Here is a 25883-nt window from a genome sequence, read left to right on the forward strand (position 1 = left end):
AGCCAGGTACACTGGCTCACACCTATAATTCCAGCACTTTTGGAGGCCAAGGTAAGAGGATCACTTGAGCACAGAAGTTTGAGACCAGCTTGGGCAACAAAGACCCTGTCTTTAATTGAATTTTTCCTTTAAATTAGCCCAGCTCAGTGGCATGAGCCTGTAGTCGCAGTGACTTGAAAGGCTTAGGTAAATGGATTGCTTGAGCCCGGGAGTTTGAGGCTGGTGTTAGCTAGGATCATGTCACTGCACTTTAGCCTAAGTGACAGACTGAGACCCTGTTTCTTAACAAAAAAAAAAAATAGGCAAGGGCAGCTCTATGATCATGTGACAGAAGGCTGTTCTCAGCCTTTATCTCTCCCACTGCCTTCAACTCATCCCCCACATTCTGTTCTGTCTGTGGGTGACAGAAGCTGAGCACCTTAGGGTTTTATTTCCAGCTCAGGAGAAACACTGAGTAAGTCCAGTGCCCTGCCAGAAGTCATATCATAAAGTGAGTTTAGTCTAGCCAAGATGTCTCTCTTTAATCTCTCTGCCTTCCAGTGTTTAAAGAGTATTCCTGTCCTGTCTAGTGACAGTTTCTCACCTTCATAATTTCAAGGTGAGTAGAAACTGGCGTTATGCCCTTTGACATAGCCTCATGCACTGAGGCAGAGGGGAGGGATTCCCTTTCCCATCAAATGTAGCTTATGTATGTATTTGAGACCAATCCTTGTTGTTTTGGAGTTTTTCCTCCTCAGAAATAACAGGGTGGCTCTCCATGGATCCATTTGTTGCCATGGTGTTGTACCCATGGCTTTTGTTGGTGTTTTTTGACTTCAGTAAGCCTCTTTTTGTTATCCTTGTGAAAAAGTCTGCAAGTTCTTCAGAGCTAATAAATGGCATTCATCATTCCTGTCATCTGATCACTGTTGTGGGGCCTTGTGAGTGAGCATGGAGTCTGAGCTGTGCACCTGCACTAAGGGAACTCTCAAGAATGAGCCCCGAGTCAGCAGCACATATGCATGAGAGGTGGTCACCTTTCTCCCCATCCCAGAGTCAGGGTGCTGGATGCAGAAGGGACTGCAAGCAACTGTGCCTTGTTTGGACATTAGCATAGGAATCCAACTGGGTAGCCTTTATTTGTTTCAAAACAGAATTTAGAGACATCCTAGTAGCTCAGAATTATATTTTTAAATGAATAGAAATAAATTTTATTAAATGACAACAGAAAAAAACCACTACATGTTTAGTACATGAACTAAACTTATGTAGTATTGTTTGAAGGGTATCTACAAAATTCTCACCCTAATGTTTTCTTGCAAAAGAAGTGAAAATATAAAGTGAAGAGACATTCTGTAACAAGGAACCACTGAGAAACACAAAATATTTAAAAGTCATATAAAATTTATGTGCATTTTTGAGGATTATAAAATAATCAGTTGGCATCAGACTTTTCATTTTAGCAACATTTATAGAATTATTTTCTAGTGGGAGTTTTCACACAACTTTTGAAAAATATGTTAAAATTGAAAACTTTCTTGTATTTTGTAAACTACTGAGGTTCCAATTCAGGGTGCTTTTTTTATATTTATAAGGTCCATCTCTACAGCATGTAATATCATGGGTCTTTGAGTGAATATCAACTAAAGGCATTCTGACATTCTGTACATTCATAGGTTTTACCTCAGAAATGAGTTTTTTCTTGTCTTCAGGTGGAACTGGAACGAGTAAAACACTACCATATGTTTGTATTTATAAGGCTTTTCTTCATTGAACCCTTTTATGTTTTCAAAGAGAAATGACAAAAACCGAAGGCTTTACCATGTTTCTTAAAATTTTGTGGTTTTTCTCCATTTTAAATCCTAAAATGTCTTTAAAAGCAAGTGGGAAAATCAAGTTTATTATCACATGTTTTACATTTATGCTTTTCCCCCAGTATGAGTTTTTCTAAGTTTTCAAAGAGAACTGAGAAAATTCCAGGCTTTCCCATATTTATTACATAATAGGGTTTCTCTCTAGTGTGTGCTTTTTCATGTGTTCTTAAAGAACTAGAACTTATAATTGCTTTATCACATTTCTTACATCAGAATAATGTTTTTGAAGATAGCCCAGTGGACTAACATTGTCCCATGTTGGTTTTCTTGTGTTTCTCCTCCCACAGGAATGAGCTTGAAAGACAGTTTTTGCAGCTAATTGACTATAACGTCGAAGTTTCTGGAAGTGTTTATGCCAAGTACTATTTTGATCTTCGATCCTTGGCAAAGGACAATAGCTTGCATTTTCCAGTTTATCTTCTCAACAAAGAAAGGGCACAGAACCTGGAAGTAAGGCGATAAAGTCACTAAGGGGGGTTTTCTGTCAACCACCAAAGCCAACATCTGTGACTAGATTAGATTAAGTAGTGATGAGAAAAATGAAAAGCTCCAAAATTAACTTACATACTGAAGAGCTTATTTCCTGTATCATTTATGGTTTATACAAGAATCCACATTATTTAAATATTATAGATCTCTTCTGTGACCATAATTCAGAATATTTTTAACCAAATTTAATTCAGTCTTAGTGGTATTCTTTTTGAATCTTTGCCCTTTCAAGTAAGCATACATGAATAATTTCTTGCAATTCTATTTTAAATGATATCTGCATATGTAATGCACTTACCACTTTTGCCTGTTTTTTATTACTTAGTTTGCAAATTTATGTCATTTTTTATTGTATATATTACAGTGCAGCCAGTTCCATAAATTTGTTAGGCAAAGCATTAGTGCTTAAGCCAAGAGACCTACACTTAGTCTGTATAAGGTATGAGCGTCTCAGGTAGTGATGCAAGAAGTACATGTGTTTTACTGGAAATGGTAACTTTTGGGGGGCAAAGCAATATTTATGGTTTGTGACTTCTGGTTTCAGTTGTGAGCAAAGTTGCAACTGAAATGGATGCATATTTATAATTAGTACTTTCTGTGGTACCTTAGAAGTACTTTAGAATAACATACCTTCTACCATAATTAATGTGCCAGGTTCTGCCTTTTGCTGCTTTAGTCGTTCGACCTCTTTGATGTTCCAGTGCACTCCTGCACACATCTGCTTCATTCAAATTTGCTTTGAGGATATAATAACTACTGCAGATGGGGTAGACTCTGAATAGATTAATAAACTATAAATTTTCCTTTGCTCCAGCAATCTAATCATAGCCCTTAAAGGAGATTACCTTAGTGAGGTGGCAGGGAGTAGCATCCCCGGAACCTGGCAGTGCGAACCTCAGCCAAAGGAGCTGTAACTGTGAACTATCTAAAGGAGCGTCTGCATGTCTGGCTTATCATCAATGGTGCTTGTTAAAAGGCTGGAGCCCTTTTTAAAATTGTACCTCTTTTCTGTTTCATTTACTTTCTTAGGCTATTTCAAGGATGGAAGACGCCAAAATCTTTTATAGTGAAGGTCCTTCAGCGCTGATAATTTCATTAATCTTCAGCGCTCTAAAGCCATTAACTCTTGAAGGAAGAAATGAGGGGCTATATCATGTGAACCCCTCATCAAAAAAGTTCGGAAAATATTACCTCTCATGCTCAACAACTAGAAAAGTTAGTATTTTCAAAAGAAGAAAAATCTCAAAGTTGAGAGGCTTGTGGGCAACTAGGATTGCACTCCACAGGAAAAAAATGGGATCGTTGCAGTGCAACAACTCTCGTACACTCTTCTGTCTTTTTAAACGTAAACAGGTATAAAAACTACTCCAAAGTGAAGACTTCTTGCCCATACATAGATATCTTTTTCTGTGTGTGGACTAATAGCTGTGAACTATGTAAGGGTTTTAAAACAATAGTTTAAATTTTTAGATTTCAGACATAATTTTCTGTTTCTTTTCTATTTTTCTTTTCCCCCAATATTGCTGCAGACACATTTAAAATAAATGCAGTATTACTATTAAAACATGGGACTGTAATAACTCATGAAGCCACTAGAAGCAGACCGCTCATTTTCAGGTGTTGAAGGGTTCTACCTGCCTACTTTTACCATCGGAGCTGCTCGTCACTGGCAATCATTTTAAACAAAAGCTGATGGAGTTCATTTGCCATTCATATCTTTTGTAAGCATTACTTGCTAGCATTTTAGCATGTTTGGGGTCACAAAAGAAAAACTATTAGTTATTGGTTACCTACTTGTATTAGGGTCCATGGTATGTTTCTTATAAACTATAATGATCCTTTTGTGTGTGTGTGTGAATTTTATTTATTTATTTACTTATTTTTTATTTGCTGATAAATTTTCTTATTTGTTAAATAAATGTATTGAGAGATATTTTCATAATGCCAAACCACATGATGATCCAGTGGTGATATAAAAATAATAATAAGTGATGTGATCTGAAAGTTTCAGGGCAGATTCTAGTTTTAATGTAGTGTGCTTAGACCCTCCAGTGCACGGCAGCTTATGTATATATGCTATAAACCTTTATAAAATACCGTTCAAAAGTTTCATAGTATTTATTTTTTCTTTTTTATAAAAGATGGGGTCTTACTATGTTGCCCAGGCTAGAGTGTAATGGCTATTCAGAGGCACAATCATGACTCCACAGCCTGGAAATTCTGGCCTCAAGCAATCCTCCCATGTCAGCCTACCAAGTAGCTAGGACTATAGGTGTAGTACCACCACCTCTGGTTTTATTTTGCAAAAACTGAATATTAAGCTTTTAACTTTTTGTTTCAGTCAATATCTGCTGTCTCCAAGAAACGCTGAAACAAAAAATTAAAAGCTTAATATTTAGGAGCTGGGCATGCCTGTAGTTCCAGCTACTCATGAGTCTTAAGTGGGAGAATCACTTGAGGCCTAGCATTGGAGGCAGCAGTGCTCTATGATTGTGCCTGTAAATAGCCATTGCACTACAGCCTTGGCAACATAGTGAGACCCTATGCCTTTAAAGAATTGCAAAACTAAATACATGTATAAGCAATATAATAAACTTTCCAATGATGTTTTGTAAATGTTTGTAGCACTGATACTTGTACAAGTATCAAAGCTTAAAATTACACTAAGACTTTTGGAATTCTTGTATTTTTATAAAGTGCCCTCTTCTCTTTTAAAGTAGTTCTTAGCAGGGCTGTTATCTACGTTGATCACCTAAAATTATTTTCCCTACATGTGGTAAAGGAAGAATATGATCAGTGTTAATTTACATGTAACAGATTAGAAGGAATTGGACCCTAATAGTAGCAGGTGATTAAACATTTTATTATCCCACCTGTTAGCCTGGCTACAGGTATTATATTTCATGTCCTGCTGTTTACAAAAAAGAACTTCCATAAACCTTAGAAATCTTACTTCCTCAAAAATTATTGTTTATGGAGTTTAGAGCTTGGAGATTTAAGTATTTATTGCAGTTTTATTTTCAAATGATAAATGCTATCTATAATTTATGTGGTTTTTATTTCTCATGTTTACATTAAAATAAAACCTGATAAACTGTTTTAATTAAAATGTGACCAATGTGTTCATAACACTTGTAATTACATTATGTTACATATCTGCCTAACTTACATGGTTTAAGTCAGTCTTGATATGTCCGAAGACATTTTGATAAGTTGCTTTCACCGTTCATAAGTTGGTTTGATTCATGCCTCTGTTTAAGATGTAATATTTGTTTTCTCTCTCTTAAGCTCTTTTCAAAGTGAAGATAATTTGTTACACTTAAAATCACTGTCCAGCCACAGTACTTAGTGGCATAGTGCATTAGATGGCATCTTTGAATAAATGGTTATTGTGCCTGTGAGAAAAAAGCATAATATGCTTATTAGGATATAAAATTATGTAAATATACAAAAGAGAAAGGATTTCCAGAAATAGTACAGAATTAGAACAAGAGGTGTTTGAAGTATTCAATTACACAGAAAAAAAATTGGAAGTACAAAAAGTAGAATTAGTGTTGCTGTACAGAGGGTGACAAACCACATAATTTGACTTTCGCACACTGTTTTCAAGCTTACATTTTAGTTAAAAATATATCAAATCAGTTAGGTTGTTTTTTAGAACTAAGAGTCTAGCCACTCAGCTTCAGTGATTCTCACTAAATCTTTAATTCTTTAGTACCTAAGGTAAAATTTTAAATAACTTATCACCTTATCTTGATAAAGTGCTGACTAAAATCAATGATCTCATTTAACTTAAAAGAAAATATTTATAAATTACTGTTTATAAGAAAGTTTGCAGCATATAATATGACAATAAGCAGAAATCCTGACATATATGAGTGGTCAAAGGTTCAAAAAACAGTTTGGGAGAGAAGAACTGGACATGAATTTGTGACTTCAGGAGTAAGTCAGTAGAATAAAAATCAGTAACATTGCTCTCCCCTTTGGCTTGAATTCTAGAAGGCAACACAGTCATTTTGATAATTGGGAAATTGGGTCAACTTAGGATAAGAATATAAATGTCACTGAAAGTGGGTAGGTTTTCTGACAAATGTTATGTGAGAATGTGAGGTGGCAGGGCCCCAGAACCTGGCAGTGTGAACCTCAGCCAAAGTAGCTGGAACTGTGAACTATCTAAAAGAGTCTGCATGTGTGGCTTATCATCCGTGCTGAGCATGGAAACCAAGCTGCTAGTACAGTGGCAACTATGGCAGTTTTCTTATAGTTTGATATCTAGGAAATATTTCAACTGTTGTAATACAGCCACCAGTGAAATTTTAACTCCAGTATATTGTGAACTGAACTTTTACATCATTACAAGGAAAAGACAAAGATTTGAAATATACATTTGAACCAAGTGAAATTGCCATTCTTATAAGTCAAAAATGGTTGTCTAATGGCAATTTCATGTGGTTCACCCTAAGGTGACTGCTTAGAGCTCAGTGTTTCTGGAGAAATCTTATCCCGGCCCTTTCCTTCACATTTCCTCTTTATGTAACCAATATGCCCACATGTTATTAAAATCCAACAACACTAAATCCCAATTTTATCACAATTCAAGGTTCATTTTTGACCTAGTTTTTTTACATTTCTAAATACTCTATTTCTTGATTTAAAAAAAAATGCCAAAGCCAATTTTAACCAAAAATCAAATCATTCTTTGTTCTGTATTCAGCTCATGCAGTGTTTCTGGAAACTAGTTTAGCTGCAGTATGCAAGTTAGCTTGAATTTTTCGTCAGCAAAGGCTTCTCCCTAAGCACATTTAAGATGACTGTGGCCTGACTGTTCCTTCACACAGCATTGTTGAATATGAAACTACTTGGAAAATGATTTCACAGACGGCAGAGAAATCTCCCAGGTAAGTGCTAGTTTCTACGCAGGATCTGTAGAGTACGCCCAGAATCTATCAAGTTAAGGATTAAACTTAAATCTACTCAACAGCCACTTCCAGACCTGATTGGGCCTGACATTGTGCCAGCAGGCAAGGCAAAAGATGTAGGAGCCCTTCAGTGAAGTCTGCACCCCTATAACACAAGTTTCTAAGGCAATTTCCATTCAACTATTTTAAATGTGTTCGGCAAGTGTCAGAACATGCACTTAATGTGAAATAAATTTTAAGAATATCAGCTTGTGGTTTAGGATCTCCAGGGTACAAGAAGAAAAACTAACTGGGAAAGTGAAATAGAATAAAAATTATGAGAATCTTGAGTCCAATGAAATAACGTTAATATTCTTTAAAGAGGAACAGGTTAGGTGATTCTTACAACTGCTGTAAGGGAGCTAAGCAATTTTAATGTGATTAGGAAAATTCAGTGATAGTACCAGAATTTAAGGTCTTTAATAAAATACCAGTAGTATCTTCTTCAAAAGACCTCCACTGATTCTCAAATTAGGCTGCTACCTTCTTGTAAGAAAAATCGCTTTGTCTTTTCCACCTTGTCTATTCTACAAACTCTTACCTGTCAGCCCAAGCTGGTGGCTCCTGTGTCTCCTTGGTGTGATAACTGACTCTTCCACAGGTAGAGCTTCAAGTGTTTTTCCACCTTCTCTTTCACCAGCTGCTTCACCCAAGACCCTTAGGACCCTCTTTAAACAAAATTCTTCCAGCGTTATCCTTGCTTTTTCTGCAATGTTTGATGTTGGTCATTATGACCCACTGCCAAAGCATTATTAGCACCGGATTCCAGAGCATGCAGGCTGTATGTGGCTTACAGACTAACTGACCCCTTGTAACTCCCTTTCATCACTTATGTGAATCCTGTGTTCTCCAAAGCAGCTCTTCCCAACTTGCTGCACTTACCTATTCTCCTGACCTACTCACAACCCTCGTCATGTATTCTCAATCTAGACTGAGGTTGAGGTTGCACCCCCACCTTCCAAAACCAACTATTTCCTCTGGCATGAAATTCCTTGTTCTGAAGGTAACCCCCTCCCATCTAATGGAAAGCATTCCACTTCTAACTCTAAAATTAACCTTTTATTTACACCTGCTCCATCAATTATCTTCCTTAAAATTGCACTTACCTCCCCAACTTGGGGAGGTAGCAATTTTGGTTTGGTTCTCTGAATGTCTGAGTGTTTTCTCAAAATGTGGTCCTCAGCTCCCCTGCCTCTCTTCCACTGAAAGAGCTTATGAAAAATGAAGATTTTCTAAGTCCAGTGTGGTATCCTGGATTTGATCCTGGAACAGATAAAGAACTTGAGTGGGAAATCTGATGACGTCTGGAGTTAAGAGTAATGTGTCAACACTGACTTTAGTTTTAACAAATGTGCCATGTTAATAAGATGTTCGGATGTTCGCATTAGGGGAAAACTGGCAATGGTATTCAGAAACTCTGAGTTATTTTGGCGACTTTTTGTAAATTTACTTTTATAAAATGGCCTCTTGGGCCCCAGAACTACTGAGTCTCAATGCCTGGGGCTGAGGCCTGGGAATCTAAATTTTTAAGAGGCAACCTAAATGATTGTTATACAGCCTCAAATTTTAAATCCTCCTCTTCTCAATTCCCTTTAATTCCATGTCTGAACAGTTGCTTCTCCCTTGTTTCACCTACCTAACTTAACCTGAGTTAATCTGTTAAACCTTCTGAATTCTATGATGTAAGTACTATTATTATCTGTTTTTTCCCTGATGAGAAAGCTGAAATAGTAGGAGCTGAGGCATCCAGGATCACACTGCTCAGAAAAGGTGGAGCTGGGACTTGAATTCCCAATCAGCCCGGCTCCCAAGTCTATGTTCATAACCACTCTCCATCAACCCTATTTCTATCCACAGTGAGCTAAAAAGCTCTGTAGGTAAAGCACTAAAAGCAGCATTATTGCCAATAATATTATCCTAGGCCTACCTATTTCTGTAACTTTCTAAGTCCAACAAACAGTCTTTCTGCTTCAGCATACAGACTTTGCCTCCCCTGCTTTTCCACTGGGGATGAATGAGCAATGAGAAAGCATGGGGAAGATGTGCTGACTGTAAAGTCCTGAACATGGAAGGGACAGTTGCTCTTCTCTTAGGATTCAGCTCAACTATTATATTTTCTAATCTGCCTCTCCCAACTGCCTTATGTACCAATTGAATGAAGTGACAGCACCCACCCATGTCACCCACCTTGACATAGAATTCCATGCTCCCATATTGCTAATTCACCTCTTCCTGGATTTATGTTGCCTCCCCCAAACATTTTAATCTCCTAATTACTCACATAGTTGTGTCTCCCACACACTTATGTCTGGGATCATTGATGGAGAATGTGGATATACCAGGCATTAAAATGAGGTGGCATTTGGTAGATTGGTGGCTAATCTTTATTTTGCCAAAGAGAAATCAGCAGAAGGTGGTCTGACAGTACTCTCAGGCTCACTAAGCATCCTTCTAGATTTTAAGGGAGAAATCTACTTTCAATCAGTTTCTACGTTCTCATCTGGGCTCCCTGACTTTAGAGTTTGACAGCAAATTATGGATACAACTGCTGAATTAAAAAGCTGTAGAAGTTTCTGTCCTCCAGCCAGACACACAAAAGAGCACCATGTCTATTCAGATGATTTCAGTGTAAATGAAGGGCTCATAAAATAGAAGGCAATCTCAGGAAATAACTTTTTTTCATGTCCCTCTTTATTTCTTCAAATGAATAATTAAGATTGGCAGGAGAAACCTAGGAAGTATTTTCGATTAAAACATGTTTTAATTAGTTCTGCTTCTGGTGATTAGAATTTGCTTAATTTTACTTGTTTATAAAATTTTTCTGCTTATATTTAAGTACATCTGAAAAATCTGATTATAAAGTTAAAATCTACATCTCTCCCCAGATATTCTTTAAAAGAAGTGTATTTCTTCATAGAAACATGACGAGAAAAAGACTTCCATGGCATCTTTTTATTTTCTTCACTATTGCTTTAATGCATTTTAAAATTAATCTATATTAATTGAGAATAAAGGAACAAAAAGACTTTTTGTCATAACTAGTCTTTATATTTGATTTTTAAAAAAGCTCAAACTGTTATTTTTTCCTTACTACAAACAGAATACATACAAAAATTTTTGCAATAACAGTATCAACTAATTAAACATTTTGAGACTAACATAACCACATAGTCATTCTACTGACTCCGAGGAACAAAAAATTCCTAATCAAGATGCTCTGGGTTTTGTTGTTGTTGTTATTGTTAGTATTCAGATTTATAATTATCATCTGCCAGTAAAAATTTAAGTGTTCAAAGTTGATTATCTACAAATACATCACTGGCTCTGACATGTAAGTTCTGGAGTTAGCATGACAGTGACTACACTGCATGGGATGGGTACGATACATGTATAGAAATCATAAAGAGCATTGAATGCCTGGACTTGAACCGTTGACTTGGTATGTGCTTCATTTGGCTCACTAATAAATCCACCTGTACCAACCTCATATCAAAAGTCACAAAATATTTCATCTATATCATATATACTCTGTAGATACACACCCATCTACAAAGCATATATACTATACATTCAGTTTTTAGAAACATGAAGTCATATTGTTTTATGGTTTTGTTTTATTTTGTTTTGTTTTTGAGACAGGGTCTTGCTCTGTCACCCAGGCTGGAGTGCAGTGGCATGATCATGGCTCACTGCAGCCTTGACCTCCCAGGGTCAAACAATCCTCTTATCTCAGCGTCCCAAGTAGCTTTGACTACAGGTGCACACCACCATGCCCAGCTAATTTTTTTTATTTTTAGTAGAGACAGGGTTTCGCTATGTTGCTTAGGCTATGAAGTCACATTGTTGTAAAATGATATACCACAGATGAACATTAATCTGGCTAAAATAAATATTGTAATTGTCATCAAGCTACTAGAAACTTTTGGGAGTTTTGAGTCAGGTGAGTTACTTCCCACCTGCCTACCCTCATGCTTCTGTAATGTCTTGGTAGTCTGTTCATACAAAACCATTTCCCCTTAATGCAGTTAAGATTTCTTTTCCAGGATGACCTGATTGGGTTTTGGAGAAAAAAGGGGTCATGCAGAAGAGGCAGGCATCTCTCAGCCACTTTCCCTCACACCTGCTGAGATGAGTGCTGTTTTCTGTCTCATTGGACACATTTGGGTTAGAAAGCAGTTATTCAAAGTTCTGTGTCTGCTACTCCCTTTGGTCTTTCTGTAGAGCACAAAAGTGAAAGAAGCTCCTTTGGCAAGAATAGCCGTTTTATTAAAATGTAACTGCATGTCCTAGCTCTAAGGTTTCCATTCTCTACTGGAGAGTGCAGGTCATGGATGCTGTTATTGAGGTTTGGTGTGTGACAAAACAGGACGAAACAGCCTAAAGAATGCTAACTTTGAAATAGTGCCGTGGGCATGTTATTTAAAGCTTGTACATGCATCAGTTACACCACACACCCAGGACCAGTTCACTGGCAATGATCACGTGAAAATATGACAAAAGTTTGCAAACACATACCAATAAGGCACCAAGAAAAAATATTTCCAGTTAATTTCAGTTAATTCCCAGTTAACTTCAAAATATGAGGTTGTACCAGACTCAGCTGCTTACCACTTAAAAGCCAGACATGAGAGGTGAGGGTTGGTGGAAGGAAAAGCAGGTTTAATCAGAGGCAGCAAACCCCAAGGATGGCAAACTAGCTTTCTAAAATACCATCACAGATTTTTAAATATTACCATAGGGTTTTTAAAGAAAAACTTGCTATGGGAGACATGTGGGAGCCGTGTGGAGTGCAGCATCTGTGTCTTTGTTGCGATGGCTGTCAGGGTTAATCACCCAACTGGAGGCCTGGTTGGTGTTATCTTGACTTTGGCCTTAATGTGATGGACTAATTGTGACTCCCCCTAAGCAGGAGAATTTCACAGGGACTCCATGCCTTACTTGTTCTAAGATTACCTTCTGACATTTCTTAAGCAAGAACATAATTAGATAAGCTTGGAGGGTACTCTAGAGAGGGAAGGAATAGAGGGGTGAGAGGGAGAAAAGGAAGAAAAATAAGAGGATGATTAAAAAGAATTTTTAGAACAGTTTCCCAATTACAATGGGTGAAATTAAAAAAAAAAAAAGACTCCTGAAAATCTGGTCAACTGATTCACTGAGAGTTCCCATTACTTTCTTTAGATAACCTATTTGAATTCTCATCCCCTTGTCTACGAAGTGAGACATTGCTGAGAATCACGCTGTGAAAGTGACAGCCCTCAAGCTGTCCATATGAAACTCCACTGTGTCTAAGTCTGTCCCCACTTTTACAAAGCTAGCTGTAAAGGAGTTGCTGTACCACCCCATAACCTTTTATTTTACAAGTATTTTTATGAGTAAAACTAGTTTTCATAATCAAATGCAAATTATATGGATGGAAATGGGGGTGGCTGTAAATCCAGCTTCTCTTCCCTAGGGAGGCTGATGGTAGACTTCAGGGAAGCAGATGGCCTTTATCTTTGTGTCTTTCAGGGAATGAGGGAATAGAGGGATAGCAGGGATGAGAATTTTCTTTAAGTGCCTCTGAAAGTTAGTCTGGAACTAGATCCCAAAGACCATGATTTATACTGCCTGCCCTTGGGGTTAGCATGTTTTCTAAAACTGTCTTATTTCTGAGTGAATTAATTGTTGTTAGGTTTAGCATGTTGCCAAAATTTTTTTTAAAAATCTAAAAATAAATAAATCAGTTTTATCTACTTCATTCCACAGTATTAGGGAACCGTGCATCATTTCTAGATTTCTCCACAAAGAAAAGAGGGAACACCCAAATTAGGCAGCATAACTGAAGGAGGCAGGGCAGTCTACATACATTGTGGGAATACATACTAGACGAGGGGAAAGTTCAAGGTGACCAGAGATTCTCATCTGAAAAACAGAAGAGGAACTGTTGCCCAGACAGGCAATCTGTTTCAAAATACGAGTAAGGGGCTTCTTCCTCGAAGAATAAATAAGATAGGCTAAAGTTCTGTAGCTATGTGTAGTAGGTTTTGTTGTGGCCACTGAAATTTTAATTATGATTCAGAGGATGAGTTGTGTAAGAGCAGGCATATATATACATATATATATATATAAATGTTAAGAGCTTTTGAGAGTCCTTAAAACTATAGTACTAACTTTTTCCCTCAACCCCCGCTGTTCCCCATAAAAAATGTTCAAATTGCCTGTGGAAAGTATACATTTATCTACTCAATATCCACAAAGTAAAAATTGACCTAGGCTTAAACATTACTTTTCCAATTTTGGTGTAAATTAAATCCAAATGCCTAGACTCCAGGTGTTTTTCCAGGTAGGTTTCCTCAAATGTTAATTGCAGTAGCAATTTTATCTTTCTAAATTTAGCACTCACTCAATCTTGGTCATTGGTATTTTGCTTGCTGATGCACTGCCACTCTCTTGTCCAGTAATCACCTCAAATCCTTCATGAATGAATGCTTAAACAAATTTTTTAAAAAATTCTAATAGCAAAGAAATCTCTGTTTGTGTCTATGTGTGTGTGTGTATCATTATATAGGCTTTCAAATATGAATGAAGGAATGGTTGAACAGTTTAGTAAAGCAAACCAAATTATCTAATAGCAAAGAAGTTCTCTGTGTGTGTGTGTGTGTGTGTGTGTATGTGTGTGTGTGTGTGTGTATGTGTGTGTGTGTGTATGTGTGTGCTCATCAAAACACAGGCTTTCTCAGAAGGAAAGAAACAGTGTAGTGCTAGAGGTAGCACTACACTACCTTTGCAGCATTAACATAAACACAGACCTTAAGTCTGATAAGAAACATTTACAATGTATTCTCTCTGAGGCCTGCTTATTGAGGCTTCCTCTGCCTAATAAAACCTTGGTCTCTGCAATCCCTTATTGGAACTCAGACATTCCTTACTACTAATAATACCTCTTTCAACAAATTGCCAATCAGAAAATTTTTAAATCTACCTAGGACCTAAAAGCACCCCCTCCCCCACCACTTTGACTCATCCCATCCTTCCAGATTGAATCAATGTTAATCTTACATGTATTGATGGATGTATTCTGCCTCCCTTGAATGTATAAAAGCAAGCTATGGCCCGGCACAGTGGCTCACGCCTGTAATCCCAGCACTTTGGGAGGCCGAGGCAGGCAGATCACGAGGTCAGGAAATCGAGACCATCCTGGCTAACACGGTGAAACCCCCGTCTCTACTAAAAATACAAAAAATAGCCAGATGTGGTGGCAGGTGCCTGTAGCCAGCTACTCAGGAGGCTGAAGCAGGAGAATGGCGTGAACCCAGGAGGCGGAGCTTGCAGTGAACTGAGATGGCACAACTACACTCAAGCCTGGGTGACAGAGCGAGACTGTTTATCAGGCCCTCCCGAAGTTGTTGCATGGATGCATCCTTTAAGTCTGCAGAGGTTTCTGCTGCCTTTTGTTCGGCTATGCCCTGCCCCCAGAGGTGGAGTCTACAGAGGCAGGCAGGCCTCCTTGAGTTGTGGTGGGATACACCCAGTTCAAGCTCCCAGGCAGCTTTGTTTACCTACTCAAGCCTCAGCAATGGCAGGTTCCCCTCCCTCAGGCTCGCTGCCGCCTTGCAGTTGGATCTCAGACTGCTGTGCTAGCAATGAGAGAGGCTCCGTGGTGCGCATCCTTAACTTTGGCAAAATAAAGTTTCTCAATTGATTGAGACCTGTCTCAGATACTTTTTGCTTTACAAGTTGGTAACCATAGAGGATTCTGAGTGGAGGTGTCCCTGACCTTTGACAAATCTATCAATGCTTGGTACCAGTTTGAGCTATCTCCCCACTCCAGAGAATTTTTGATTTCCCAAAATTTGGTCAAGATCTGAAGTTTATTTTGCTGTACAACTTCTTTTCTGGAGTTTTACTTGCTTCCAAAAAGGGAAGACAAGTTTTCTGCTTCTGTGACAAAAAAGTGCAGGCAACTACTTCCTGGAATTTCAGCTCGCTTTCAACAAAGAAGGTGAGTTGTTTCTTCCTGCTTCTAGGAAAAGATTAACAACCAGCTGGCCTTAATTTCTCCTTACCATTAGAGTGCTCAGTAATCATATTGTTGGGTTTGTTTGTTGTCGTGGTCTTTCTCCCATCATATTTGACCAACTCTACCTAGTTTACTCAAATCATTCTTATTCTATGAAGCCAGCATCATTTTGGTAATAAAAATCTGCCAAAGACATACACACACACACACATAAAATTCAATGTTCTGATTAACATAGACGCAAAAATCCTCAACAAAATACTAGCAAACAAAATCCAGCACCAAATTCAAAAGTTAATTCACCATGATTATGTAGGCTTTATATCTTGGATACAGGACTGGCTCAACATATGCAAATAAATAAACAGAATTTGCCACATAAACAGAATTAAAAACAAAAAATGATCGTTTTGATAGATGCAGCAAGAACTTTTGATAAATTTCAACATCCCTTATGATAAAAACCCTCAACAAACTAGGCGTCAAAGAAATATGACTCAAACTAATAAGAACTTTCTATGGCAAACCCACAACTAACATCGTACTGATGGGCAAAAGCTCAAATTATTTCTTTTGATAACTGGAACAAGAATTCATACTCTCACAACTTCTTTTAAACATAGTGCTAGAAGTCTAAGCTAGAGCAGTCATCAAGAGAAATAAATAAAAGGCATCCAAAGTGAAAAAGGGGAAGTCAAATTATTTCTGTTTGCAGATGACTCTGTATTCTGGGTTCTCTATTCTGTTCCATTGGTCTTTGTGTCTTTTTAAAATTCCAGTAGCATACCGTTTTGTTAACTATAACCTTATAGTAAAGCTTGAAATCAAGAAGTGTGCTGCCTTCTGCTTTCTTCTCTTCCTCAAGTTTGCCCTATTTGGAGTCTTTTGTGACTTCATACAAAGATTGTTTTTCTATATTTGTGAAAAATTCCATTGGAATTTTGGTAAAGATTAGATTCAATCTGTAGATCACTTTGGGTGGTATAGACATTTTAACACTAACAAGTTTTCAAATTTGTAAACATAAGATACACACCATTTATTTATGTTTTTCTTAAGATTTTTATCTCTGTTTTATAGTTTTCAATGTACAAATCTTTCACCTCCTCGGATAAATTTATTCATATGTATTCTTTCTGATGCTATTGTCTTTGGATTGTTTTCTTAATTTATTTTGGATAGTTTGTTATTTGTGTATAGAAAAACAAGTTATGTTTGTTAATCACGTTTACATTAATGTTTTATGTGATTATTCTGTAAGTTTATTGAACTTATTTATTAGTCTTAATAGTTTTTGGTGGAGTTGTAACATTTTTCTATGTTTATTATTATGACATCTGCAAACAGAGAAAATTTTACTTCTTCCTTTCCAGTTTTTTGCTATTTAATTCTTTTTATTGCCTAATTGCTCTGGTCAGGAATTGACATACTAAGTTAAATAGAATGGTTGAGAGTGTGCATTCTTGACCAGTTCCAGCTCTTCACGGAAATTCTTTCACCTTATTCCCATTCAGTATGATGTTGGCTATGGTTTGTTGTATGTGTCTTTTATTATTTGGAGATATATTTCTTCTATGCTAATTTGTTAAGATTATTTTTAATCATGAAGGGGTATTAGATTTTATCAAATACTTTTTCTGCAGCTATTGGGATAATCATATGATTTTGTTTTTAATTTTGTTTATGTGGTGAATCACATTTATTGATTTGGATATGGTAAGCCATCTTGAATCCCTGAGATAAAACCCACTTGATTATAATATATTATATTTTTGATGTGCTGTTGAATTTGGTTTGCTAATTTTGTTGAGGATCTTTGGATTTTTGTTCATCAAAGATACTGGTCTGTAGTTTTTGTTGTTGTGTTCTTGCCTGATGTTGATATTACAGCAATACTGGTTGCATAGAATGAGTTGAGGAAGAATCTCTCTTCCTCAATTTTCTGGAATAGTTTCTGCAAAATAGTTTCAGCTCTTCTCTGTATATCTGGAAAAATTTATGAATCTGCCTGGTTTTGTTTTTTGTTGTTGGGAGATTTTTTTTCTACTGATTAAATTTCATTAAATGTTATTGGTATGTTTAGGATTTGTTTCTTCCTGGTTTATTTTTGAGGTTGTATGCTTCCAGAATTTATTCACTTCCTTTAGGTTTTCTAGTTTGTGTGCTTAGAGATGCTCACAGTAGTCTTTAGTGATCTTGTGTATTTCTGTGGTATCAGGTGTATTGTCACCTTTATCTTTCCTGGTTGTGTTTATTTGAATTTTCTCTTTCTTGTTTAGTGTAGCTAGCAATCTGTCAATTTTGTTTATCTTTTCAAGAAACAAACTTGTCATTTTGTTGATCCTTTTATCTTTTTTTGTTCTCAATCCCATTGGTTTTGCTCTGATCTTTGTTCTTTCTTTTCATCCACTAGGTTTAGGCTTTGTTTGTTTTTGTTTTTTAAACTCGTTGCAGTGCAACATTATGTTGTTAATTTGAGATATTCTGTTGTCAGTGTTGTCAGAAGGGCGTTAGTCTCTTATTGTATTACTGTCTATCTCTTTTCTATCAGCATTTGTTTAATAAATATGAATGTTTCAGTGTTGGGTTCATATTTAGATAGTTATATCTTATTGTTGAATTGAGCCCTTTATCATTATATAATAATCTCCTTTGTCTTTTTTTACTGCTGTTGATTTAAAGTCTGTTTTATGTCATATAAGTATGGCTATTTCTGCTCATTTTGGTTTTCCATTTGTATGATATATCTTTTCCCATCAGTTTTCTTTGAGGCTTGGTTGTCTTTACCTCTAACATGCATCTCTTGTATGCAGCAAATGTTTGAATCTTACTTTTTCTATACAATTTGCCACTCTGTATATTTTAATTGGAACATTTAGGCCATTTACATTAAAAGGTAATATTGATATGTGAGATTCTGTTGTTGTTGTAATGTTACCTGGTTGTTTTGTAGCAACAGTTGTAGAATTGCTTTATAGGATCTGTGAACTTTTTACTTACGTGTGCTTTTATGATGGCAAATTTTGCTCTTTCATATTTATCTTTAGAACTCTTTTTAGTATTTCTTGTAAGTCCAGTCTAATGGTGACAAATTCCCTTAGCATTTGCTTTTCTTAGCATTTCTCCTTCATTTATGAAGCTTAGTTTAGCAAAATGCAAAGGTTTTGGCTGGTAGCAGTTGTCATGCCATCAGCACATCACCCATCCCATGTGAAGGAAAATAAGACATGTTGCATAACATGGCAATGTGGAAGTTAGTCATCATCTCAATGCAAGTAGGTATGAGTAACTAAGGCGCCTTGCACTTGTTCCTACCAGATTTTTTTTTATACTTTAAGTTCTAGGGTACCATCTCACACCAGTTAGAATGTCGATCATTAAAAAGTCAGGAAACAACAGGTGCTGGAGAGGATGTGGAGAAATAGGAACACTTTTACGCTGTTGGTGGGACTGTAAACTAGTTCAACCATTGTGGAAGACAGTGTGGGGATTCCTCAAGGATCTAGAACTAGAAATACTATTTGACCTAGCCATCCCATTACTGGGTATATACCCAAAGGATTATAAATCATGCTCCTATAAAGACACATGCACACATATGTTTATTGCAAGCACCTACCAGCAGATTTAATGTCATTGCAATGGAAGGTGCTGGCTCTCACCTGAATTGTCTGCTTCTACACTTGATGGTAGTCTGCTGAGAAGCCTGTTTCTTGCCAAGTGCTCTGTGGCTCTAAGAGCTGGAGATTCTTTGGTTTCAAACTTTCCTAAGTCCAGTGCTTCTGGTTGAGGGTGGCTGCTTTCAGTAGCGTGTAGGAACTACATTGCATAGACAATCACCATTGTTTGTCCAATCACCATTTAGCCATCCAGTCAGCCTCCAGCCACTTATCTAACAAATACTAACTGAATATGGAATATGGAACTCTTTCTAAGACCTCAAAAAACTGCTGTTGACAAGGAAAGACAAAATCTCTATTTTTGCATAGCTGACTTTCAATTATTTAGAGCCACTATGGTTACATTTTTGAATGTCACAAAACAATTTATCAGAGTTACCCAGGTTAAAAACTAATTGAGGTGGAGAAGAACTCTTTGAGGAGGTGGCATTTTAGCTGGGACAGAAGGTTGAGAATTCAGCTATGAGGAAAGTATGAGAGAGTATATTCCAGGTGACAGGGACCACAAGAACAAAGCCATAGGGTCAGAAGGAGCTTGATGTCTTTGAAAAACAAAATAAAGGCCATCGTGGCTGGGTTTTAGTCACATGAAATGAGGTAGAGGAGGAGATTGGGAACAAGTCTTTTAGGGCCAAACAGGCCTTGGTAAGGAATTTGGATTTTAGTCTCATTTGAATGAGAAGTCATCAGAGGATTTTACGCAGGAAAGTGACTTAACGGAATGTGTATTTTAAAAAGATGATTCTGGATGCACTGTGGAGAATGGAAGACAGGAGGATGTGGATGAAAACTGAGGATGGTTTTAGTCTTTCAGGGCGAGGCAACAGTGGACTAAACGCTTGTAGTGGTGATAGAGATGGAGAGAGGTGGAATAATTTGAGACACACTACACTGTTTTTTTTTTCTTTTTTTTTTCTATTATTTTTGCCCAAATCTGCCATTGCTGCAACTTTGGGATGGAAGTCTCTCAGTGTAGTTCTTCCTTCAGTAAATCCCCCACTAATATTTCCCAGGGCCACTCTGGAAGAAGGTTTTGGTCAGCCATGCTTTTGGTAACCAGACAGCATGCTTGGCACTACAGCTTAGCCAGGGGTCTCTTTCTTATTACCTAAAACTATCCTTATTCTTTAGAAACTGCCACATCAGGAGAGCCACCTAAAGCCTTTCCCCAACTCTAATCAAACCCTGGCCATCTCCATCTCCTGGTTCTATTTTTGCTGCTTGGCCAAATTCTTGGGGAGTCCACCAAGATTGAAGCCACCAAGCCTTACTGGCTTCAATTCCTAAGACAAGACAATGTCCCGTTTCCCAGTTCTAGAAAAATGTGTGGGATTGGTCCATAGTAGACTGACCTATTTAATATGCATGGTCCTGAAGCAGCCTCGAGGGTCATGGGATGGCAAAGTTGTCATCTTGAGTCAGCTGTCAACTGCTCAAGCTGGTGTGTACAGGAAGGAGCTGGGCACCAGACCCACATTGTCTGAGACCAACAGGAGGATGATTCATCAAGGCAAATCGAGGTGCTGGCACCAGCAGAAGGGAGAATAGATGGCTGGAAGACAAATACAACATCTCTGAAGTACCTTTCAAGCTGCGACTCCTAAGCTTTCTCTTCCAGGAACCATTCTGAATCTAGACTGGTTGGAGAGCCTGGCTTGGTCACACAGTTGACTTTCTTGTCAAGGGGAAATGCAGACAAATGTTGTTAGTGACCAGGTCTAATCTTTCAGGGAAGTCTTGCAAGAGCCTAACCCATGGTCCACAGGTTTCTGTGCATGCACTGTGAACAAGCACCCACTGGTAACGATTGCATCCAGAGTTGTTTCAAAAATTTCCAAGAGGAATCTCAGCCCTGGAAAACAAGAATGGGTTTGACCCAGAGTTGCCTGCATTGGAGATAAACTTTGGAGAACTCCCCTTGTTAGCGTACTAAAATCCCCACCCAGGGAGGGAGGAGCTCATTCACTTTTTTTTTTTTTTTTTTTTTTTTTGAGATGGGGTCTTGCTCTGTAACACAGGCTGGAGTGCAATGGTGTGGTCTCGGCTCACTGCAACCTATGCCTCCCCGGTTCAAATGATTCTCCTGCCTCAGCCTCCCAAGTAGCCAGGACTATAGGCACATGCCACCACACCCAGCTAATTTTTGTATTTTTAGTAAATCGAGGTTGCATTATGTTGGCCAGGCTGGTCTCTACAATTCCTGACCTCATGATCCGCCTGCCTCAGCCTCCCAAAGTGCTGAGATTACAGGCGTGAGTCACCACACCCAGCCCATTTACCATTTTTTATACATGCGAGGTATGTGGAACATGACCAGTGACACCCTTTACTCCATCTCTACGATTAATGACTCAGCTAGCCAGCCCAGTAAAAGCCCAGCTTTCACCTTTGTTCTGGGAGGCACTGCTTAAAAACTATCCATGATGTCCTCCTTACTTGCCACATAAAATCCCCTTGTTGAACCCGCCTTGGCTGTGGTCATTGGACGTCACCTGACAAGCCATTGAACCCACCTGCCATGTGGGTAACAAGATGAGGAAGAGAACCTTAAGTGATGGGTCAGATTGTCTGACTGACGATCTGAAGACCTGATATGAAGATATTTTTTCAACACATAATTGTAGGTGTCTACTCTGGACCAGGAGCTGAGCAAGGTGCGTGAGGCCCAAAGGTCATTCACACCCACATGACCTTGGAAAGAGCCCGTGCTCGCCTCATGGACAGAGTACAGCACAGGCACAGACGGGTGCTCAGTGGAAGTTGTGAGTAAATAAATGACAGCTTAGCACACGCATTGGTCTGGAAGAGACAGTGAAGTTAAGTGATGAATTGAAAAAGTGATTAATAGAAAGCGCTGCTCTCAGAGCCCTCGCAAATGCTCTTCTCACAGCCATGCCTCTGATCAGTCACTGTAGGCTCTTCCTGCCTACAGAAATGAAGCTTGGTTGCTTCACCTGGGAACACACCCCAGACAGAGGTCCCTCGTCATTGCTGGCATCATTCCCCCTGCCTGGCATAGCCTCCTGGCCTGTGGAAATCCTACTCACTTCTCAAGACTCAGCTGCAGGAAGCTTTGTTCCCTGGACCAAGTTCCACTGCGTTGACTCCTGCCTGTGCGCTTCTGTGTTCCTGCTGACACCCCCTGTCACTCTCCCTGCCACCTGCATTACGGAGGACCCAGTGCTCACCTGCCTCTCACCCAGGATCTCAAGCACTTGAGAGCAGAGGCTGGCCTCCTGCAGCCTTGTCCAAGACCCTCCCACCCAAGACACAGACGATGCTCTCACCAGGTCCCCGCTGGGCTTGACTGCTTTATTTTACTCTTGGAAACAGCTTCTTAATGTGTTGGACATAAGTAGCCAAGACACCAAGGGAGGTCATGGTCTCTTGGCAGAAAGGCTTCCTTGTGCCATGGCTCTCTTAGGCATAGAAAGCTGTCTCATCAAACTCAGTGGCAAATCTTTTTGCAACTACCTGTTGCCAGCCTATTAATTCAGCAGCAACTCAATGGCCTGTAGGGTACTTGCTGGCTCTGTCTTGTTGCCACTCATGCTGAGGGCCCACCATGGGCACCAACATGCCAGTTGTGGGCAAGACAGGATGGGAGACCAGAGCTGCCACTCTCCACAGACTCTGTTGGTCACTGTGTGGGATAGGGAGAGTGGAGAGGGAGGGTAAAGAGTGTGTATGGCTCTTCTTTCCCACTGCAATGCTAGTATCTCTGTAATTTCTGCAGAGTTATTAGTTGATGTGACATTGCTACTTTGTGTTTACTTTAAAATGCCCAAATTAGGGTCTGTTGATGCAGTCTTTCAAATGAGATTATGCTGGATATACGGTAGCAGCAAATACTCAGGCTCTAATTTGAAAAGGCATCATTATGGGAAATATTAATGAGTGCTTGTTCTTAATCAGTATGGGCTGGGCTGAATGGCTCTGCAGAAAGCTTCCTGGATTTTAGAGTTAAGCTCCTGGTCTGTTGGGGAGAGAATAGGGCCAAGGAGAAGCTAAAGAAGAGTACAGCTATGCTTCAGTGATTCACTTCACTGTTATTTGATTCATTAAGGTTTTACTGGGGAAATGCTTATCATTGAGGCTTCTGGGAAAAAAAACATTCAGGTGATTGATGAAATTTCAAAAAGTAAAAGAAGAATAAGATGAAGACAATGACACCAGGTTTTGCATCCTTGCTTGCAGGAGGTCTAAGGTTTCAACTCACACACTGGATCTTACTGATTGAAAGCAGCAAATATGCCATGATTGACTAATGATGTCTGCCATGGGTGTGGAATAGACAAATGAAGACAAAAATTCAAATACCTCACTGAGCAGCAGAGTCTTAATCCATCAGGAAAGCCTATGAAAAAAGAAAAACAGTCTTCATTTACACATTTTTTCTCTGTAACAAAATATGTTTTATGTTGAAGAGCGGTACGTAATTTCTACTGGGGTTGATCAGATGAAAAGAGAGAGAAATCTGAAGCTGGTGGTAGCCGTCTTGCACCAAGAGAAGAGAAGCTATCTGAAAATGAAGACCAAGCTATTCTTTTAGGCAAGGAAAGCTACCCTATAGCTTTGGTTACATGAGCCCATTTTTCCCTGTTTACTTATGCCAATATGAACTGGGTTTATGTTATTTGCTACCCAAAGCACCCTAATAGATTTATTAAAAGAGCCAAGATCACTTAATTTCTTTTGGCTTTGAGTGGTCTTACCTGTCAGTGGAAAATAATAAACTTATCTGTATTTGTTTAATAGGATTGCAGTAGAAACCAGCCGAGACAAAAGATGCCGGAGTTCTTGGAAAAATGTATGTGAAATTTCAAAAATTAAATTCTAGGGGGATGTGTGTGTGTGTGTATGGTTTGTGTGTATTATAATGAAGAGGACAAGGTGATGTGTATTTCAGATAATGAGGTAGATAATCCACTACATTCTGTTTTTGATTCTGGAAACACTGATCCATAAAAACATGCTATTCTCTATGTTATTCCTGCCACATCCACCAAAACCAGCAAATTCTTTCCTTTGTAGAATCTGCTTTTCAAATGAGGTTTCCTATATGATTGAACACTTTGATTATATATGTATTTTTGATTACCTATTTTCTTACAGCATCCTGAAACTTTATCTGCACTTAGTAATTTATTCATGTTGCCTGCAATGCCCCCCTATGTAGCACTTTGAGATGATTCTCTGTGGACCTGGCCTTCCCATTGATTTTGAGTCTCTTATCGAGGACCTAGGTAGCTTTCTGTGACTCCAGAATATTCTAAGAGAGCTGCTGGAACAGCAGTGCTGGAAGTCTTTGTCTGCACTCTTCAGGGTTACAAATGCCAGGTTTTTCTCACCATCCCTGCTGTGGTCCAGCATTCAGCTCCTGTGAGGTGTTTGTCTTCCATGGTTCAGGAATCCTTCAAAGCCACTCACACAACCGAGATTGTGTCCCATGGGCAGGGAGGAGCATCCTCTGTTTCTGTCCCAACACTCAAGGTCTTTTCTGGTTTGAGACTCAAAGATCAAGTCTACAGGTTCCAAATACAAAAGGACATCTAATCACTCAGGAAGCCAACAACCATGGTGATTTTTTTTCTGGTTTTCACTTGAATCTTATTTTTGAGATACGGATCCTTTGAAAGATCTTGAAAGATCTTCCAAGAAGACAATCCACATATCTATTAAAGTCAATCCCTTCTTCTGTCATCCAAATAGAAGATGGTATACCCCTTCCCAGGTGCATGGAAATTCCAGTATCTCCAAGGACTCCAGGAGGAATTTCAGTTCTCATAGTTACTGCTGGCTCTTTTGGCCTATATCATTTTCTTTTGCATCATGCTTTTGTTAGTAGTTTCATTTTTCCACACCAAATTGCCTTGCTTAACATCAGCCTGATTCTTTTGGGTAGTGGTAGCTGCCCAGAACATGACTGCCTCACAGCTGTGCATGGTAGACTTCCCTGGAAGTTCAGAATAATCCAAGTGTGACGTTTGGCATTTCTGCCCTTAAAGTTTTCCCGGCCATCTCTTCTCTCTCCCTCCCCCCAAATCCACCTTCTTTTATTTTTAAAATTTTGTTCACATAGTAGCCTCGCTAATCACATTCTGTGCTCAAAGTGCTTTGCCTTCATCCTTCATATGCTTCTCAGGTGGTGCTTCTAAATCAAAAAGGGTTCTCTAGAATTCTCTCCCCAAGGGGCATTGTATATCAGCTTTATCAACTCTTGGAATAAATTATTTCATTTTCACCATTATTCTTAGCATGAATTTGCAAAAATTTAATGTATAACAAATGAGAAAGCATCAGGGAAATGTCCTGACCCATATTATGTCTGGCAAATGTTAGCTACTATTACTGGCATTATCATTATACAGAGTAGATGTTTTGTATACATTGAATCATTGAATAAGCAAATGACTGAATGAATGAATGAACTGACCATGGTCCTGGGGGTAACCTAAAGTCTAGGAGTGTTTTAGGTAGATCACCATAGCCTCTCTCATTTCTCCTTAGTTGCTCTGGCTTTTCTCACTGAGGTTGCAAAGAGACATAGGGGACACATGTTTCATTAGTATCATTTTGAAGATGAGAATCAAGGCCTAGAAATACTACTTTTACAAAGGCACGTAGCTGGTAAGATTCTAGGCAAGCTGAGAAATGCACACAATGTGGGCTTTGGCGTAAACTTGCCTGGGTTCAAATGCCAAGTGTACCACTTAATCACTTCCGGCCTGCAGCAAATTCTCAGACTCCCCTTAGCCTCAACAACCTTGCTGGCAAAGTGATGGTTATAACAGTACTTACCTCTTAGAGGTGCTGGACAATTAAACAAGAGTGTCCATGTGCAGTACATGGCATGCCCTCTGCCCAGATACCAAGCACACCAAGATGGGGCCAGCTCCTAGTC

General features: G+C 38.6%; 2 long non-coding RNA genes and 1 pseudogene across 6 annotated transcripts in view; 1 reads left to right on the plus strand and 2 right to left on the minus strand.

Moving 5' to 3' along the window:
• The window catches only part of LINC02987 (long intergenic non-protein coding RNA 2987), a 231539-nt gene that overhangs the window by 187840 nt on the left and 17816 nt on the right, over window positions 1-25883 (plus strand). Inside the window, exons 7-8 of one of the 2 annotated variants that reach the window (NR_146734.1) lie at window positions 2141-2303; window positions 3372-5232. This is a non-coding gene — a long non-coding RNA (long intergenic non-protein coding RNA 2987). Of the gene's footprint in view, window positions 1-2140; window positions 2304-3371; window positions 5233-23737; window positions 23790-25883 lie in introns of those variants that run through there. The other variant, NR_146733.1, reaches the window with a different exon arrangement.
• Window positions 1472-2068, minus strand: LOC100419833 (zinc finger protein 709 pseudogene; annotated as a pseudogene).
• Window positions 1954-19109, minus strand: LOC105372346 (uncharacterized). 4 transcript variants are annotated; one of them, XR_007067372.1, is made up of 4 exons: window positions 18962-19109; window positions 7842-8006; window positions 5512-5737; window positions 1954-2297 (listed from the first exon to the last, which is right to left on the minus strand). It is a non-coding gene; the product is annotated as an uncharacterized LOC105372346 (long non-coding RNA). The 4 variants fall into 4 exon arrangements; XR_007067374.1 differs by lacking the exon at window positions 18962-19109 and adding an exon at window positions 16087-16171; XR_935883.4 differs by lacking the exon at window positions 18962-19109 and adding an exon at window positions 8357-8699.

This window comes from Homo sapiens, chromosome 19 (genome assembly GCF_000001405.40).
Source record: "Homo sapiens chromosome 19, GRCh38.p14 Primary Assembly".
Taxonomy (NCBI): Eukaryota; Metazoa; Chordata; class Mammalia; order Primates; family Hominidae; genus Homo; species Homo sapiens.